General features: G+C 46.4%; 1 annotated feature.

Annotated features, from left to right (window-relative positions):
* Positions 16,705-16,934: a silencer, noted in NCBI's record as "silent region_258". NCBI's record gives its function as "represses an Ori minimal core promoter by ATAC-STARR-seq in GM12878 lymphoblastoid cells {active_cell/tissue: GM12878}" and the evidence as "EXISTENCE:reporter gene assay evidence [ECO:0000049][PMID:35858748]".

Genomic DNA, 16,974 nt, shown 5'->3' on the forward strand with positions numbered 1-16,974 from the left:
CAGTGACACTGTCAAAGCTCACTGAAGCCTTAACTTTCTGGGTTTAAGTAAAGCTCCTACCTCAGCCTCCAAGGTAGCTGGGACTGCAGGCTCACAATGCTACACCTGGCTAATTTTTGTTTTGTTTTGTTTTGTTTCTTTAAAACAGAGTCTTGCTCTGTCACTCAGGCTGGAGTGCAGTGGCACAATCTCAGCTCACTGCAACCTCCACCTCCCCAGTTCAAGCGATTCTCCTGCCTCAGCCTCCCAAGTAGCTGGGATTACAGGTGTGTGCCACCATGCCCAGCTAATTTTTGTATTTTCAGTAGAGTTGGGGTTTCACCATGTTGGCCAGGCTGGTCTCGAACTGCTGGCCTCAGGTGATCCACCTGTCTCAGCCTCCCAATGTGCTAGAATTATAAGCATGAGCCACCACGCCCAGCCAATTTTTGTATTTTTAGTAGAGATTAGGTTTTGCTATGTTGCCCAGGCTGGCCTCCAACTCCTGAGGCCAAGCAGTCATCCCACCTTGGCCTCCCAAAGTGCTGGGATTACAAGTGTGAGCCACCATGCCTAGCCAACAAATTCTTTTTTTTTTGAGTCGGAGTCTCGCTCTGTCAGGCTCCCACCACCATGCCTGGCTAATTTTTTGCATTTTTAGTAGAGACAGGGTTTCATCACCTTGGCCAGGCTGATCTCGAACTCCTGACCTCAGGTGATCCGCCCTCCTCAGCCTCCCAGAGTGCTGGGATTACAGGGTTGAGCCACCATGCCCAGCCAACACATTCTTAAAATACAACAAGCAAAGCCAGTGATCTTGGGCAGAATGAGGGTTAGAGAGAGATAATCATGCATCCTTGCTTTCCAGAGACAGATAGTTGACCCCAAGTTGTCCCAGTAATTAATAGCCTCTCTGTCACTCTCAAAAATCCCAGATTGAATTTGCTCCCCGGCCCCAGTTAAACCATCATTCTATTTATATAAATTAAACACATACGTTCCCTAGAGTATCCCCAACCTCTAGAGCACTGGTCAGTAATTTTCTTTTTTCTGTAAAGGGCCAGACAGTCAGTATTTTCAGCTTTGTGCCATACAATCTCTGCTGTAACTACTCAATTCTGCCAATGTGGCGTGAAAGCAACCAGAGATGTACATAAAAAATGAGCGTGGGCCCAGTGCGGTGGCTCACATCTGTAATCCTAGCACTTTGGGAGGCCAAGGCAGGTGGATCATCTGAGGTCAGGAGTTTGAGACCAGCCTGGCCAACATGGAGAAACCCCGTCTCTACTAAAAATACAAAAATTAGCCAGGCGTGGTGGCGCACACCTGTAATCCCAGCTACTCAGGAGGCTGAGGAAGGAGAATCGCTTGAACCCAGCAGGCGGAGGTTGCAGTGAGCTGAGATCACACCACTGCACTCCAGCCTGGGCAACAGAGCAAGACTCCATCTCAAAAAAAAACAAACAAAAAAATGAGTGTGGCTGTGCACCAGTAAAACTTAGACATGGATACTGATACTTGAATTTCATATAATTTTCAGGTGTCACAAAACTGTATTCTTTTGATTTTTTTTTCAGCCATTTAAAGATGTAAAAACTGGCCGGGTGCATTGGCTCTCGCTTGTAATCCCAACACCTTGGAAGGCCGAGGCAGGCGGATCACTTGAGGTCAGGAGTTCAAGACCAGCCTGGCAAACATGGTGAAACTCCGTCTCTACTAAAAATACAAAAAAAAAATTAGCTGGGCGTGGTGGCAGGCACCTGTAGTCCCAGCTACTGGGGAGGCTGAGGCAGGAGAATCACTTGAACCCAGGAGGCGAAGGTTGCAGTAAGCTGAGATGGCACCATTGCACTCCAGCCTGGGCAACAGGGCAAGACTCCATCTCGAAAAAGAAATATATATATATATATATATATATATATATATATATATATATACCATTTTTGGCTTGCAGGTTGTATAAAAGCTGGCAATCGGCTGTGGTTTGTTGCTCCCTGATCTAGGGTAACACCTGGCAGGCACCATGGTAGGTGCTGAATAAATGTCTGGTTATTGCTAAGTACACCCACAGAACAACTGTGCATGCTTTATACAGACACATGCAGATTCAAAGACAGATGAACACCCTAGTGAGGGCCTAGGAGGGGGAGGGGAGAGGGACTAGGGGTTGGGAGTAACTGGAGAAAATAATGAAATAGGTCAGGCGCAGTGGCACATGCCTAGAATCCCAGCACTTTGGGAGGCCAAGGCAGGAGGATTGCTTGAGCCCAGGAGTTAGAGACCAGCCTGAGCAACATGGTGAAACTCTGTCTCTACAAAAAATACAAAAATTAGCCAGGCATGGTGGTGCGTGCCTGCGATCCCAGCTACTTGGGAGGCTGAGGTGGGAGAATCACCTGAACCCAGGAGGTGGAGTTTGCAGTGAGCCGAGATAGCGCCACTGCACTCCAACTTGGGTGACAGAGAAACTCTGTCTCAAAAACAAAAAGAAAATAATGAAATAAAATAAGCCAGGCTTTGCCCAGGCTGAGGAGGGTGGTGGGCCATGAACTGATGAGGGCAATAAACTCCACTCTGCTCCTAAGGCCCAGAAAGGAAAATGAAAGTGAGATCTCCAGGGACAGAAAACCTAAATTTTAAATTCTTTTTTCATTTTTTTTAAGGCAGGGTCTCGAACTGTCATCCAGGCTGGAGGTGGCACCATCATGGCTCACTGCAGCCTTGACCTCCTGGGCTCAAGCAATCCTCCTGCTTCAGCCTCCTGAGTTGCTTGGATCACAGGCAGATGCCACGACGCCCAGCTAATTTTTAAATTTTTTGTAGAGATGGAGGTCTTACTATGTTGCCCAGACTGGTCTAGAACTCCTGGGCTCAAGCGATCCTCCTGCCTTGGCCTCCCAAAGTACTGGTATTACAGGCGTGAGGCATCACACCCAGCCTAGATTTGAAATTCGGACACTGCTGTCACTATCTGGTGATCTTGGGTAAGTTGAACCTCTAGAAGGTTCTTTGTAAAATAGGACTAAATATGGTACCTACTTCATAGGCCCGTTAGGGATTAAAGGAATCTATACAGATAATGTGTTCAGAACAGTGTCTGGCATTTAGTAACTGGTGTTACAATGTTGTGGTTGTTTTCTATAAAGAACAGAGAGCAAATTGTCCCCCAGGTTCCAAATAAGGAGATGGATTAGAGGTGATTAGGAGCGTGGGCTCTAGAACCAAGGACCTCAGCTTTGCCACAGACTGGCTATGTGACTCTGGCCAAGTTACTTGGCCTTTCTGTGCCTCAGTTTCCTCAGAGAAGGTCAATAGTAGTAGTACTTGGTAAATAGAGTTGAGGTAAGAATTAAATTTGCCAACTCTGAGCCTGGTATATAAATGCTCAAATAAATTATTATGTTATCACTTTGGTCGCACAATTTCTGCCCAAGGGGAAATAATAAAAGGAGTCAAAACAACAATCTCCTGTGAAATATTCCAACAGGTCCAAGGAGTTGGGCTATGGATTTTGGACAAAGAGAAGAGAGCCTCTAATGTGAAAGGAAGACCCCAGTGTGCCAGGCACGGTGGCTCACGCCTGTAATCTCAACATTCTGGGAGGCTGATGCAGATGCATTACCTGAGGCCAGGAGTTTGAGACCTGCCTGGCCAACATGGTGAAACCCTGACTCTACTACAAACACAAAAATTAGCCAGGCGTGGTGGTGGGCAGCTGCAGTGCAGCTACTCAGGAGGCTGAGGCAGGAGAATCACTTGAACCCGGGAGGCAGAGGTTGCAGTGAGCCAAGATTGTGCCACTGCACTCCAGCCTGGGTGACAGAGCAAGACTACATCTCAAAAAAAAAAAAAAGAATGAATAAATAAATACAATAATAATAAAAATATTGAAGGTAAAATTGGGGAAATTTCACAGAAAGTAGAATTTTTAAAATTGTAACAACAAAAGAAAAAAGATTTTCAAAAATGATGCATCATTGTAGGAAAGTCAATAGCTAACAGGAATTTCAGAAAGAGAGAACCAAGGAATCATTGGGGAAAAAGCTGTCAAAGAAATAATACAACAAACTTTCCCAGAATTGAAGGACAAAAATCTCTATAACAAAAAGATCACCATATGCCCAGAACAATGAATGAAAAAAGATACTCAGGAAGACCAAGTCATCATCTTGAATTTCATTCTTTTTTTTTTTTTTTTTTGAGACAGAGTTTCACTCTTGTTGTTGCCCAGGCTGGAGTGCAATGGTGCAATCTCAGCTCACTGCAACCTCCACCTCCTGGGTTCATGCAATTCTCCTGCCTCAGCCTCCCAAGTAGCTGGGATTACAGGTATGTGCCACCACACCTGGCTAATTTTGTATTTTTAGTAAAGATGGGGTTTCACCATGTTGGTCAGGCTGGTCTCGAACTCCTGACCTCAGGTGATCCACCCACCTTAGCCTCCCAAAGTGCTGGTATTACAGGTGTGAGCCATCATGCCCAGCCCTTTTTTTTTTCTTTTTAAGACTAGTCAAGTGCAGTAGTGAGAAAAGGGGAAAGAATTGAACTGATCAACTGAGATAACTGACTACCTTCAGATCAGCCCATCTTGAATTTCAGAAAATGGATGATACGGTAAGATCATGAAAGAGTCCAGAGAGAAAATGAAGATTACGTGAATGACCAAGAATGCAATGGATTTCTTAACAGCAATAAGAGAAGCTAGGCGCCAGCAGAAAAATATCTTCTAAGTGTTGAGTATGAATGACCTTCAACCTAAAATTCTGTACGCAACCGGACTACCAATGACATGTAAATGGAATAAGACCATTTTCAGACATGTAAGGAAGTCTCCAGGATGACAACTGATACAATTTCCAGCAAGCAATCCAGGAAAGGAGGCATGAAGACTCCAAGAAATAAAAAAATAAAAATTACAAACTATCTGGCTGGGCACAGTGGCTCTCACCTGTAATCTCAGCACCTTGGGAGGCCAAGGTGAGTGGATCACTTGAGGTTAGGAGTTCAAGACCAGCCTGACCAACAGGGTGAAACCCCGTCTCTACTAAAAAAATACAAAATTAGTCAGGTGTGGTGGTGCACACCTGTAATCCCAGCTACTTGGGAGGCTGAGGCAGGAGAATCACTTGAACCTGGGAAGCGGAGGTTGCAATGAGCCAAGATCACGCCACTGCACTCCAGCTTGGGCAACAGAGCAAGACTCTGTCCCCCCCCAAAAAAATCACAAACTAGCTGACAGATTTGACTATGAAGAAAACCTTATTCAAGACATTTACACAACTTTTGGAGGGCATAAAATGATTATTTAGATGTTCAAAGAGAACAAAGCAAATGAAAAAGCAAGGCAATTATTAACTCCAGGAAAAAGTAAAGTTGCACAAGAAAAGATAAAACTTGTCTCAGTCATGAACACAATTTATGTAGTCATAATAGTGAAAACATTGAATATGTATTTAACCAAAAATGGTGATATTAGGTATCAGTATATTAAGAGGATGGAGGAAATGATAATGAAGTGTGAGCTAAAAAACCCTCATTAGACATAATAGGAAATCAGTAGATACTTTCTAAATTGAATAAATGAAAATTTTGCAGGATAAGGCCAGGCATGGTGTCTCATGCCTGTAACCCCAACACTTTGGGAGGCCAAGGTTGAGCCCAGGAGTTTGAGACCAGCCTGAGAAACATGGCAAAACCCCATCTCTAGCAAAAATACAAAAATTAGCCAGGCATGGTAGCACATGTCTGTATTCCCAGCTACTGGGGAGGCTGAGGTGGGAGGATGGCTTGAGCCCGGGAGGCAGAGGTTGCAGTGAGCTGAGATCGAGACACTGCACTCTAGCCTGGGTGACAGAGCAAGACCCTGTCTCAAAAAAATTTTTTTTAATTGCAGGATAGATTTATTATTTTAAAAGATGTAGGTATATCCATAAGAAACAACTAAAAGAATGGTTACTTCTGATAAGGGATATGGAAGGGGCTGGGGAGAACAAGAGACTGCAGTTTTTTTGTTATTTGTATTTATGTACTAACTGGCTTTTTACAAAAAATGGTTTTAAAAACCCAAGATCTAGAACAAATAAGGGAGGCATACCTTAATTTTGGCAGCTAAGATGCTTAAATTAAAAGGAAAGTAAGCCAGGCGCAGTGGCTCACGCCTGCAATCCCAGCACTTTGGGAGGTCGAGGAGGTTGGATCATGAGGTCAGGAGATCGAGACCATCCTGGCTAACATGGTGAAACCCCGTCTCTACTAAAAATACAAAAAAATTAGCCAGGCGTGGTGGTGGGTGCCTGTAGTCCCAGCTACTCAGGAGGCTGAAGCAGGAGAATGGCGTGAACCTGGGAGGCGGAGCTTGCAGTGAACCGAGATTGTGCCACTGCACTCCAGCCTGGGCGACAGAGTGAGACTCCGTCTCAAAAAAAAAAAAAAAAAGAAAGTAAATCGTGATAAAATAAAAATATCTTACCTTAGTATTAGTTTACCTTTCAAAAGTACTTGTGGGCCGGGTGCTGTGGCTCATGCTTATAATCCCAGCACTTTGGGAGGCTGAGGTGGTCAGATCGCTTGAGCTCATGAGTTCAGCACCAGGCTGGGAAACATGGTGAAACCCCATCTCTACTGAAAATACAAAAAAAAAAAGAGCTGGGTGTGGTGGTGTGTGCCTGCAGTTCCAGCTACTAGGGAGGCTGAAGTAAGAGGATGGCTTGAGTCCATGAGGCAGAGGTGATAGTGAGCCAAGATTGGGCCACTGCACTCCAGCCTGACCAACAGAGCCAGACCTTGTCTCAAAGAACAAACAAGGCCGGCGCAGTGGCTCATGCCTGTAATCCCAGCACTTTGGGAGGCTGAGGTGGGTGGGTCACCTGAGGTCAGGAGTTCGAAACCAGCCTGACCAACATGGTGAAACCCCGTCTCTACTAAAAATACAAAAATTAGCTGGGTGTGGTGGCACATGCCTATAATCCCAGCTACTTGGGAAGCTGAGGCAGGATAATTGCTTGAACCTGGGAGGCCGAGGTTGCAGTGAGCTGAGATCACGCCATTGCACTCCAGCCTAGGCGACAAGAGCGAAACTCCGTCTCAAAAAAATAAACAAACAAACAAAAAAATGCTTCTGACAACAACCTAATGCCCTGATTCTGATTTCTAAATCGTTTTTCCCACTATAAGAAACCAGAGATTGGCAGGGCACGATGGCTCACGCCTGTAATCCCAGCACTTTGGGAGGCCGAGGTGGGCAGATCATGTGATCAGGAATTTGAGACCAGCCTGGCCAACATGGTGAAACCCTGTCTCTACTAAAAATACAAAAATTAGCCGGGTGTGGTGTCATGTACCTGTAATCCCAGCTACTCAGGAGGCTGAGGCAGGAGAATCACTTGAACCTGGGAGGTGGAGGTTGCAGTGAGCTGAGATCACACCATTGCACTCCAGCCTGGGTGACAGAGCGAGACTTCGTTTCAAACAAAACAAAACAAAACAAAACAAAACAAAACAAAACAAAACAAAAAACCATAGATCCTTTGAGGAATGGCTGATTCCAGGGATACAGCAGGGAAAATATAAGACAAGCCCGGTACATCTTGGTGGTCCAGAAGGCAAGAATGTGCTCAAAGGCTAATAGAGACACATCCAATGGACTTAGAGTCAGTTTAAAGGGTTTCCACAGAGCCTGAGTAAAATAATGTGATCATTAGAAACATTAATGACTATAACCTATTTTGAAACACTAAATAAATAAAAATGCAAGAGTTCATAGTGATTATTATTATTATTATTAGTTTTGAGACAGGGTCTCACTCTGTCTCCTAGGCTGGAGTGCAGTGGCATGATCTTGGCTCACTGCAACCTTCGCCTCCCGGCTCAACTGATTCTCCCACCTCAGCCTCCCAAGTAGCTGGGACTACAGGTGTGCACCACCACATCTGGCTAGTTTTTAAATTTTCTGTAGAGATGGGGTCTCCCTATGTTGTACAGGCTGGTCTTGAACTCCTGGGCTCTAGCAATCTACCTGCCTCAGCTTCCAAAGTGCTAGGATTATAGGCCTAAGCCACTGCACCCAGCCGTGACTATTTTTAAACAAGAAAAAAATACAATTAATTTGTCACTATTGGAGGTGATTATTGTGTCAGTCTATCCTGAAAATTGATAAAGGATTAAGCAGTTAGGAGGAACTGTGGTTCATCTCCAGGTGATGAAGGAAAATTCTTTACAAAAGAATATAGACGTACCGGAGAAGAGTTGACTCATGCCAGTAATCCCAGCACATTGGGAGGCCGAGACGGGAGGATCGCTTAGGGCCAAGAACATGAGACCAATCTGGGCAACGTAGGAAGACCCCATCTCTACAAAAAATTTTAAAAATAAAAAAAATTAGCCAGACATGGTGGTGCACTTGTAGCCCCAGCTACTCTGGAAGATGAGGCAGGAGGATCGCTTCAGCCCAGGAGGCCAAGGCTGTGGTAAGCCATGATTGCACCACTGCACTCCAAGGTGAGCGACAGAGTGAGACCCTATCCCTAAAAAAATAAAAATAAAAACAGACTGGGCGTGATGGCTCACCCCTGTAATCCCAGCACTTTGAGAGGCCAAGGCGGGTAGATCACGAGGTCAGGAGTTTGAGACCAGCCTGGCCAAGATGGTGAAACCCCATCTCTACTAAAAATACAAAAATTAGCTGGGTGCAGTGGCAGGTGCCTGTAGTCCCAGCTACTTGGGAGGCTGAGGCAGGAGAATCACTTGAACCTGGGAGGCAGAGGTTGCAGTGAGCCAAGATCGTGCCACTGCACTCTAGCCTGGGCAACAGAGCAAGACCCCGTCTCAAAAATAAATAAGTAAATAAATAAAATAAAAAATAAAAGCAAATAAAACTTTCCATTTTGTAACCCCCAATAAAATAACAGAGTAAGGCAAGGATCATCAGTGGATGCTAAACCATTAGGTGAAAGGATGTAGTGAAATGGGATGTTTGCCCTGTGCCAATGTATCATCTAGAGATTACTGGAATTTTGCAAAGGGGGGAAATACATCTTTTCCGTGGAGAGATCTAGTGGTCACAGTCTTTTTTTTTTTTTTTTTTTTGAGACGGAGTCTCGTTCTGTCGCCCAGGCTGGAGTGCAGTGACGTGATCTCGGCTCACTGCAAGCTCCACCTCCCGGGTTCACGCCATTCTCCTGCCTCAGCCTCCCGAGTAGCTGGGATTACAGGCGCCCACCACCACACCTGGCTAATTTTTTGTATTTTTAGTAGAGACAGGGTTTCACCGTGTTAACCAGGATGGTCTCGATCTCCTGACCTCATGATCCACCCACCTCGGCCTCCCAAAGTGCTGGGATTACAGGCGTGAGCCACCGCACCCGGCCAGTGGTCACAGTCTTAATTGAGAGATCAAATTTAGCATCACTAAAAGTGAAACAGCCAGACATTATGTGGCTCTTGATAAGGAGCATTGGGATATTCAAGGCTTTGCCCAAGAAGTGTTGTGGCCATTGTGTTTAACCTGGATGTGATCGTGTCTTTAGATCTAACTTCCAGTATGCAGGAAAAATAGGGAATAGAGGAGTGTGCTGAGTAATACAACAGGGAAGCAACCAGATGAATTCAGAAGGTGCGACATTCTACAAACTACCTGACCAGAGCTCTTCCAAAAGTCAGTATCTTGTATAGGGAGATTATTCTAGATTTTAAAAAGATTAATGGACATACTAAGCAAATGTAATGCATGAAGCTTAATTGGATCCTATTTTAAGAAAATACAGGCTGGGCGCAGGGACTCACACCTGTAATCCCAGCACTTTTGGAGGCCGAGGCGGGCAGATCACTTGACCCCAGGAGTTTGAGACCAGCCTGGGCAACATGGTGAAACCTCATCTCTATAAAAAATACAAAAAAAATATCCTGGTGTGGTGGGATGCACCTGTAGCCCCAGCTATCCAGGAGACTGAGGTGGGAGGATCATCTGAGTCCCGGAGGTCGAGGCTGCAGTGAGCCAGGATTGTGTCACTGCACTCCAGCCTTGGTGACAGAGTGAGACCTGTTTCAAAAAAAAAAAAAAAAAGAAAAGGAAAGAAAGAAAGAAAAGAAAAAGAAAACAGCTATAAAAGACATTTGAGGGGAACAATTGTAGAAATTTGAATGTGGACCAGGTATTAGATGATAGCAGGAAATAATTATTCATTTTCTCTTATGATTATCATTGTGGTTATGAAGGACAATATTCTTGTTCTTAGGAGAAGCAGGATGAAGAATTTAGGAGTGAAATGCTGTGATGTCTGCAATTTACTTTCTTTTTGGTGGGTAATTGGGGGAGATGGGGTCTCACTCTGTTGCCCAGGCTGGAGTGCAATAGTGCAGTCTTGGCTCACTACAACCTCTACCTCTTGGCACCACAGCCTCCTGAGTAGCTGGAACTACAGGTGCATGCCACCACACCTGGCTAATTTTTGTAGAGACAGGTCTCGTTATGTTGTCCAGGCTGGTCTCCAACTGCAATCCGCCCACCTCGGCCTCTCAAAGTGCTGGGATTACAGGCATGAGCCACAGCGCCCTGCAAATGTACTTTCTTTTCTTTCTTTTTTTTTTTTTTGAAACGGAGTCTCACTCTGTCACCCAGACTGGAGTGCAATGGCACGATCTCGGCCCACTGCAACCTCTAACTTGCGGGTTCAAGTGATTCTCCTGCCTCAGCTCCCGAGTAGCTGGGATTACAGTCGCCTACCACTGCACGTGCCCAGCTAATTTTTGTATTTTTAGTAGAGACGGGGTTTCACTGTGTTAGCCAGGATGGTCTCGATCTCCTGACCCTGTGATCTGCCTGCCTCGGCCTCTCAAAGTGCTGGGATTACAGGTGTGAGCCACTGCGCCCGGCCAAACACTTATAATCTGAATCAAATCATGAGGAAACATCAGGCAACCCCAAATTGAGGGACATTCCAAAAACAAAGCAAGCCTGAACTCTTCAAAAGTGCCAATGGCATGAAAGACAAAGAAAGGCTGAGAAAGTGTTCTAGATTGAAGGAGTTGAAAGAGCCACAATGATGGAATACAATGTTCCTGGATTGGATCCTAGATCAGAGAGAAAAATTACTCAAAGGCACTTTGGGAGGCCGAGGCGGGCTGATCACAAGGTCAGGAGATGAAGACCATCCTGGCTAACACGATGAAACCCTGTCTCTACTAAAAATAAAACAAAAAAATTAGCCGGGCGTGGTGGCAGGCGCCTGTAGTCCCAGCTACTCAGGAGGCTGAGGCAGGAGATTGGCGTGAACCCGAGAGGCGGAGCTTGCAGTGAGCCAAGATCGCGCCACTGCCCTCCAGCCTGGGCGACAGAGCGAGACTCCATCTCAAAAAAAAAAAGAAAAATTATTCAAAGGACATGTTTTGTTTTTGTTTCTTTCTTTTTTTTTTTTTTCTTGAGACAGGGTCTCACTCTTGTCACCCAGGCTGGAGTGCAGTGATGTGATCACTGCTCACTGCAGCCTCGACCTCCCCAGGCTCAGGTGATTCTCCCACCTCAACCACCCAAGGAGCTGGGACTACAGGTGTGAACCACCATGCCCGGCTTATTTTTTTTTTTTTTTTTTTGTAGAGATGGGGTTTCACCATGTTGCCCAGGCTAGGCCTCTAACTCCTGGGCTCAAGGGATCTGCCCACCCACCTCAGCCTTCTAAAGTGCTGGGATTACAGGTGTGAGCCACCACAGCAACCTGTTTTTGTTTCTTTTTCTGCGGGGGCGGGAAGGGCCAAATTTTAAAATGGTTGTATATTAGAAAAGAGTGTTACATTAATGTTAAAATCCCGAATTTGATAACAGTATTGTGATTGTGTAAGAGAATGTCTTTGTCCTTAGGAAAGACAAACTTTTTAGAGGCAAAGGGGCACGCAGTCTGTCATTAATCTCAATGGATAAGTAAGAACATATATGTTATTAATTAATTTTTTTTTTGAGATGGAGTCTCGTTTTGTTGCCCCGGCTGGAGTGCAGTGGCGTCATCTCAGCTCATTGCAACCTTTGCCTCCTGGGTTCAAGTGATTCTCCCACTTCAGCCTCCCAAGTAGCTGGGAATACAGGCATGAGCCACCATGCCCAGATAATTTTTGTATTTTTAGTAGAGATGGGGTTTCACCATGTTGGCCAGGCTGATCTTGAACTCCTAGACCTGAGGTGATTTGCCCACCTTGGTCTCCCAAAGTGCGGGATTACAGGCGTGAGCCACTGCGCCCAGCCATGTTATTAATTTACATGTCTAGAGAGAGTGAGTGATAGACCAAATGTGACATAATGTAATCAGTTGATGAATCTGGATGAAGGGAACACAGCAGTGCTTTGCACTATTCTTGGAACTCTATCATAAATTTTAAATTATTTCAATGTAAAAAATTTGTTTTTAAAATCTAAATTAGACCTAGACTATTTGGGAAGGCAGCTTCTAATTTTGGCAGGAGCTAAAAACATGGAGATGAAGAGGAAATTAATCTTGATACAATAAAGATTTTTATTACTTTATTACTTTATTACTTGCTTTGTCGCCCAGGCTGGAGTGCAACAGCTTGGCTCACTGCAACCTCTGCCACCTGGGCTCAAGTGATCCTCCCACCACAGCCTCTCCAGTACCTGTAACCACAGGTGTACATCTCCAGGTCCGGCTAAATTTTGCATTTTTTGTAGAGATGGGGTTTCACCATGTTGCCCAGGCTGGTCTCGAACTCCTGGGCTCAAGTGATCTGTCTGCCTCGGCTTCCCAAAGTGCTGGGATTACAGGTGTGAGCTACTGTGCCTAGCCTAAAGCTACTTTTTTTTTTTTGAGATGGAGTTTCGCTCTTGTTGCCCAGGCTGGGGTACAATGTCTCAGTCTTGGTTCACTGCAACCTCCGCCTCCTGGTTTCAAGTGATTCTCCTGCTTCAGCCTCCCAAGTAGCTGAGATTAGAGGCATGCGCCACCACGCCCGGCTAATTTTGTATTTTTAGTAGAGACAGGGTTTCTCCATGTTGGTCAGGCTGAACCCGACCTCACATGATCCGCCCGCCTCGGCCTCCCAAAGTGCTGGGATTACAGGTGTGAGCCACCACTCCCGGCCCTAAAGTTACTTTTATTTAAATATCTTTATTGGCTGGGTGGTGGTATGTGCCTGTAATTCTAGCATGTGGGAATGCCAAGGTGAAAGGATCACTTGAGGCAAGGAATTCATAACCAGCCTAGGCAACATAATGAGACCCTGTCTTTACAAAAAAGTTTTTTTAATTAGCCAGATGTGGTGGTGCACACCTACATAAATAAATAAATAAATAAATAAATAAATAAATAAATAGGGCCGGGCACAGTGGCTCACGCCTGTAATCCCAGCACTTTGGGAGGCGGAGGCGGGCAGATCACGAGCTCAGGAGACTGAGACACGGTGAAACCCCGTCTCTACTAAAAATACAAAAAATTAGCCGGGCGTGGTGGCGGGCACCTGTAGTCCCAGCTACTTGGGAGGCTGAGGCAGGAGAATGGCGTGAACCCGGGAGGTGGAGCTTGCAGTGAGCCGAGATTGGGCCACTGCACTCCAGCCTGGGTGACAGAGCAAGACTCCGTCTCAAAAAATAAATAAATAAATAAATAAATCTATGTATCATTATTGCCCTAGTATTTCTTTCAGTTTTGTCTTTTTTTTTTTTTTCTTTTGAGACAGAGTTTCACTCTTGTTGCCCAGGCTGGAGTGCAATGGTGTGATCTTGGCTCACTGCAACCTCTGCCTCCCGGGTTCAAGCGATTCTCCTGTCTCAGCCTCTGGAGTAGCTGCGATTGCAGGTGCCTGCCACAATGCCCTGCTAATTTTTTGTATTTTTAGTAGAGACGGGGTTTCACAATGTTGGCCTTGAACTCCTGACCTCTGGTGATCCACCCACCTCGGCCTCCCAAAGTGCTGGGATTACAGGCGTGAGCCACCGCGCCCAGGCTTCTTTCAGTTTTCAGGAATGTTGTGGAGCTGTGTCCTGTTTGCCTCATGGAGCTGATGAGCTGGGAGAATTCAAGGGGGTTGATGGAAGGGGAGAAGGTAAGTCCCCAAGTGACCCAGTTGAAAACCAGGGCCTGGGCCAGGCACAGTGGCTCATGCCTGTAATCCCAGTACTTTGGGAGGCTGAGGCGGGAGGATTGCTTGAGGTCAGGAGTTGGAGACTAGCCTGGCCAACATGGTGAAACCTCGTCTCTACGAAAAATACAAAAATTAGCCAGGTGGGGTGGTACACGCCTGCAGTCCTAGCTACTTGGGAGGCTGAGGCAGGAAAATAGCTTGAACCCGGGAGGCAGAGGTTGCAGTGAGCTAAGATTGTGCCACTGCACTCCAGCCTGGGCGACAGAGCAAGACTCTGTCTTGAAAAAAAAAAATGTTGTGTTTCAAACAACTTTTGACAATCAGTGCTGTAAAGCTGAATCCCAGAGACAACTGAGATAGGAGCAGGAAGATCTGTGGTCCAGTCTCCCTCTGGCCTTATAATTATCTTCCTGAGTTACTTACCTTCTTTGAGACAGTGTTTGCTTGTCCTCCCAACTAGCCTGAAAACTTCTTAGGAGAAGGGCCAGCCTTTGGGGTCATGTTCCTGTGTGACCTGTCTCTAGGAACTTCTGCATACCCAGCTCTGCCCACTTGGAGCTAGTGTCCAGGACTCCACAGCACTACCCGCACTAAATACCTCGGTCTCAGTCTTGTGACAGAAAGTGGCCAGTGTGGTGGACATAGTGCAGAGGTTTAGGGTCTGACCAACCTGGGACAGCAATTTATGGGCTAGGTGACATCCTTGAGCAACTGTATGACCTCAGGCCTGTCATATGGTCTCTGAGCCTCAGGTTTTTCTTCTGTAAAATGGGAGTGATAAAACCGACTTCTCTGCTGGGTATGGTGGCTCACGCCTGTAATCCCAGCACTTTGGGAGGCTGAGGCAGATGGATCGCTTGAGCTCAGGAGTTGGAGGCCAGCTTGGGTAACATGTCAAGACCCTGTCTCTACAAAAAATATAAAAAATTGGCTGAGTGTGGTGGTGTGCACCTGTGGTCCAAGCTACTCCGGAGGCTAAGGTGAGAGGATCGTTTGACCCCTGGAGTTAGAGGTTGCAGTGAGCCGAGGTCACTGCACTGCACTCTAGCCTGGGTGACAGAGTGAGACCCCATCTTAAATAAATAAATAAAGTATTTTGTGTAAACACTTGTAACTGTATTTCATTGAGTGTGATACATGTATATACAAAGAAACATAAATAGTTGCCAGTTAAACTATGACACATCATCATCAACTGGAACTGGAACTGAAATCACATACTGACTTCAGCAATGTGAAACATTGGCCGGTCGCGGTGGCTCACGCCTGTAATCCCAGCACTTTGGGAGGCCGAGGCGGGCGGATCACGAGGTCAGGAGATTGAGACCATCCTGGCTAACACGGTGAAACCCCGTCTCTATTAAAAACACAAAAAAATTAGCCGGGCGTGGTGGCGGGCGCCTGTGGTCCCAGCTACTCAGTAGGCTGAGGCAGGAGAATAGAGTGAACCCGGGAGGCGGAGCGTGCAGTGAGCCGAGATAGCGCCACTGCAGTCCAGCCTGGGCAAAAGAGCGAGACTCCATCTCAAAAAAAAGAAAAAAGAAAAAAAAAAGAAATGTGAAACAAAGGCCGGGCGTGGTGGCACTTTGGGAGGCCGAGGTGGGCGGATCACCTGAGGTCAGGAGTTTGAGACCAGCCTGGCCAACAGGGGTTAAAAATACAAAAATTAGCCGGGCATGGTGGTGCATGCCTGTAGACCCAACTACTCAGGAGGCTGAGGCAGGAGAATTGCTTGAACCGGGGAGGCGGAGGTTGCAGTGAGCTGAGATTGTGCCACTGCACTCCACCTTAGGCAACAGAGGGAGTCTGAAAAAAAGGAAGAGAAAAGAAAGAGAGAGAGAGAGAAAGAGAGAGAGGTAGGGAGGAAGGAAGGTGGGAAGGGAGGGAAGGGGGGGAAAGGGAGGGAAGGGAGGAAAGGAAGGGAAGGAAAGGAAAGAAAGGAAAGAAAAGATAGAAAAGAAAGGTGGCTCGTGCCTGTAATCCCAGCACTTTGGGGAGCTGAGGCAGGCGGATCACTTGAGGCCATGAGTTCGAGATCAGCCTGGCCAACATGGCCAAACCCTGTCTCTACTAAAAATACAAAAATTAGCCGGGCATGGTGTCTTTGCACGCCTATAATCCCAGCTATCCCTTGAACCTAGGAGTTGGAAGTGGCAGTGAGCTGCAGATTGCGCCACTGCACTCCAGCCTGGGGGACAAGAGCGAGACTCCGTCTCAAAAAAAAAAAAAAAAAAAGTGAAACAAAAAGTGTGCCTTAAAATAGATGAAGTACTGTATTATTATTATTATTAAAGGGCTGGAGCCAGAACAAGTTAGCATTTTGTGCCTCGAGATTCAAATCCCAGGTCTACCATTTATTCCTTGGGTGACATTTTTTTGGGGGGAGGGGCTGGAGGACAGGGTCTCACTCTGTCGCCTAGACTGGAGTGAAGTGGCGCGATCTCGGCTCACCGCAACCTCCGCCTACCGCGTTCAAGCAATTCTCCTGCTTCAGGCTCCCGAGTAGATGGGACTACAGGCGCGCGCCACTACCGCCCGGCTAATCCTTGCGTCACTTTAAGCAAGACACTTGATCTCTCTGTGCCTCAGTTTCCTCACCCGCAGAATGAATATCAATAGCTCCTGCTACACAAAACTGTTTGGGCTATTAAATATGTGAATACTCAGAAAGTACCTGGCACAAAGTAGCCTTATCATTGCTATTATTTAGAACAAAGTTATTGTTTCCAGGTTTGGAGGTGGGCTGGCGGAGGGAGGAGAAGACGCACTAGGTTGCCTTTCAGAAAAGGGGTCCAGGCCTTATCCTGCCTCCCAGGTGGACTCGGCCCGGGATCCCGAGCCCCGCCCCCTCCAGGCCCCGCCCCGCCCCGCCCTCGCTGGCCGAGACTCTGTGCTACTCTCGCGCGCTTTGAAAGT

Source organism: Homo sapiens, chromosome 1 (assembly GCF_000001405.40).
Source record: "Homo sapiens chromosome 1, GRCh38.p14 Primary Assembly".
Taxonomy (NCBI): Eukaryota; Metazoa; Chordata; class Mammalia; order Primates; family Hominidae; genus Homo; species Homo sapiens.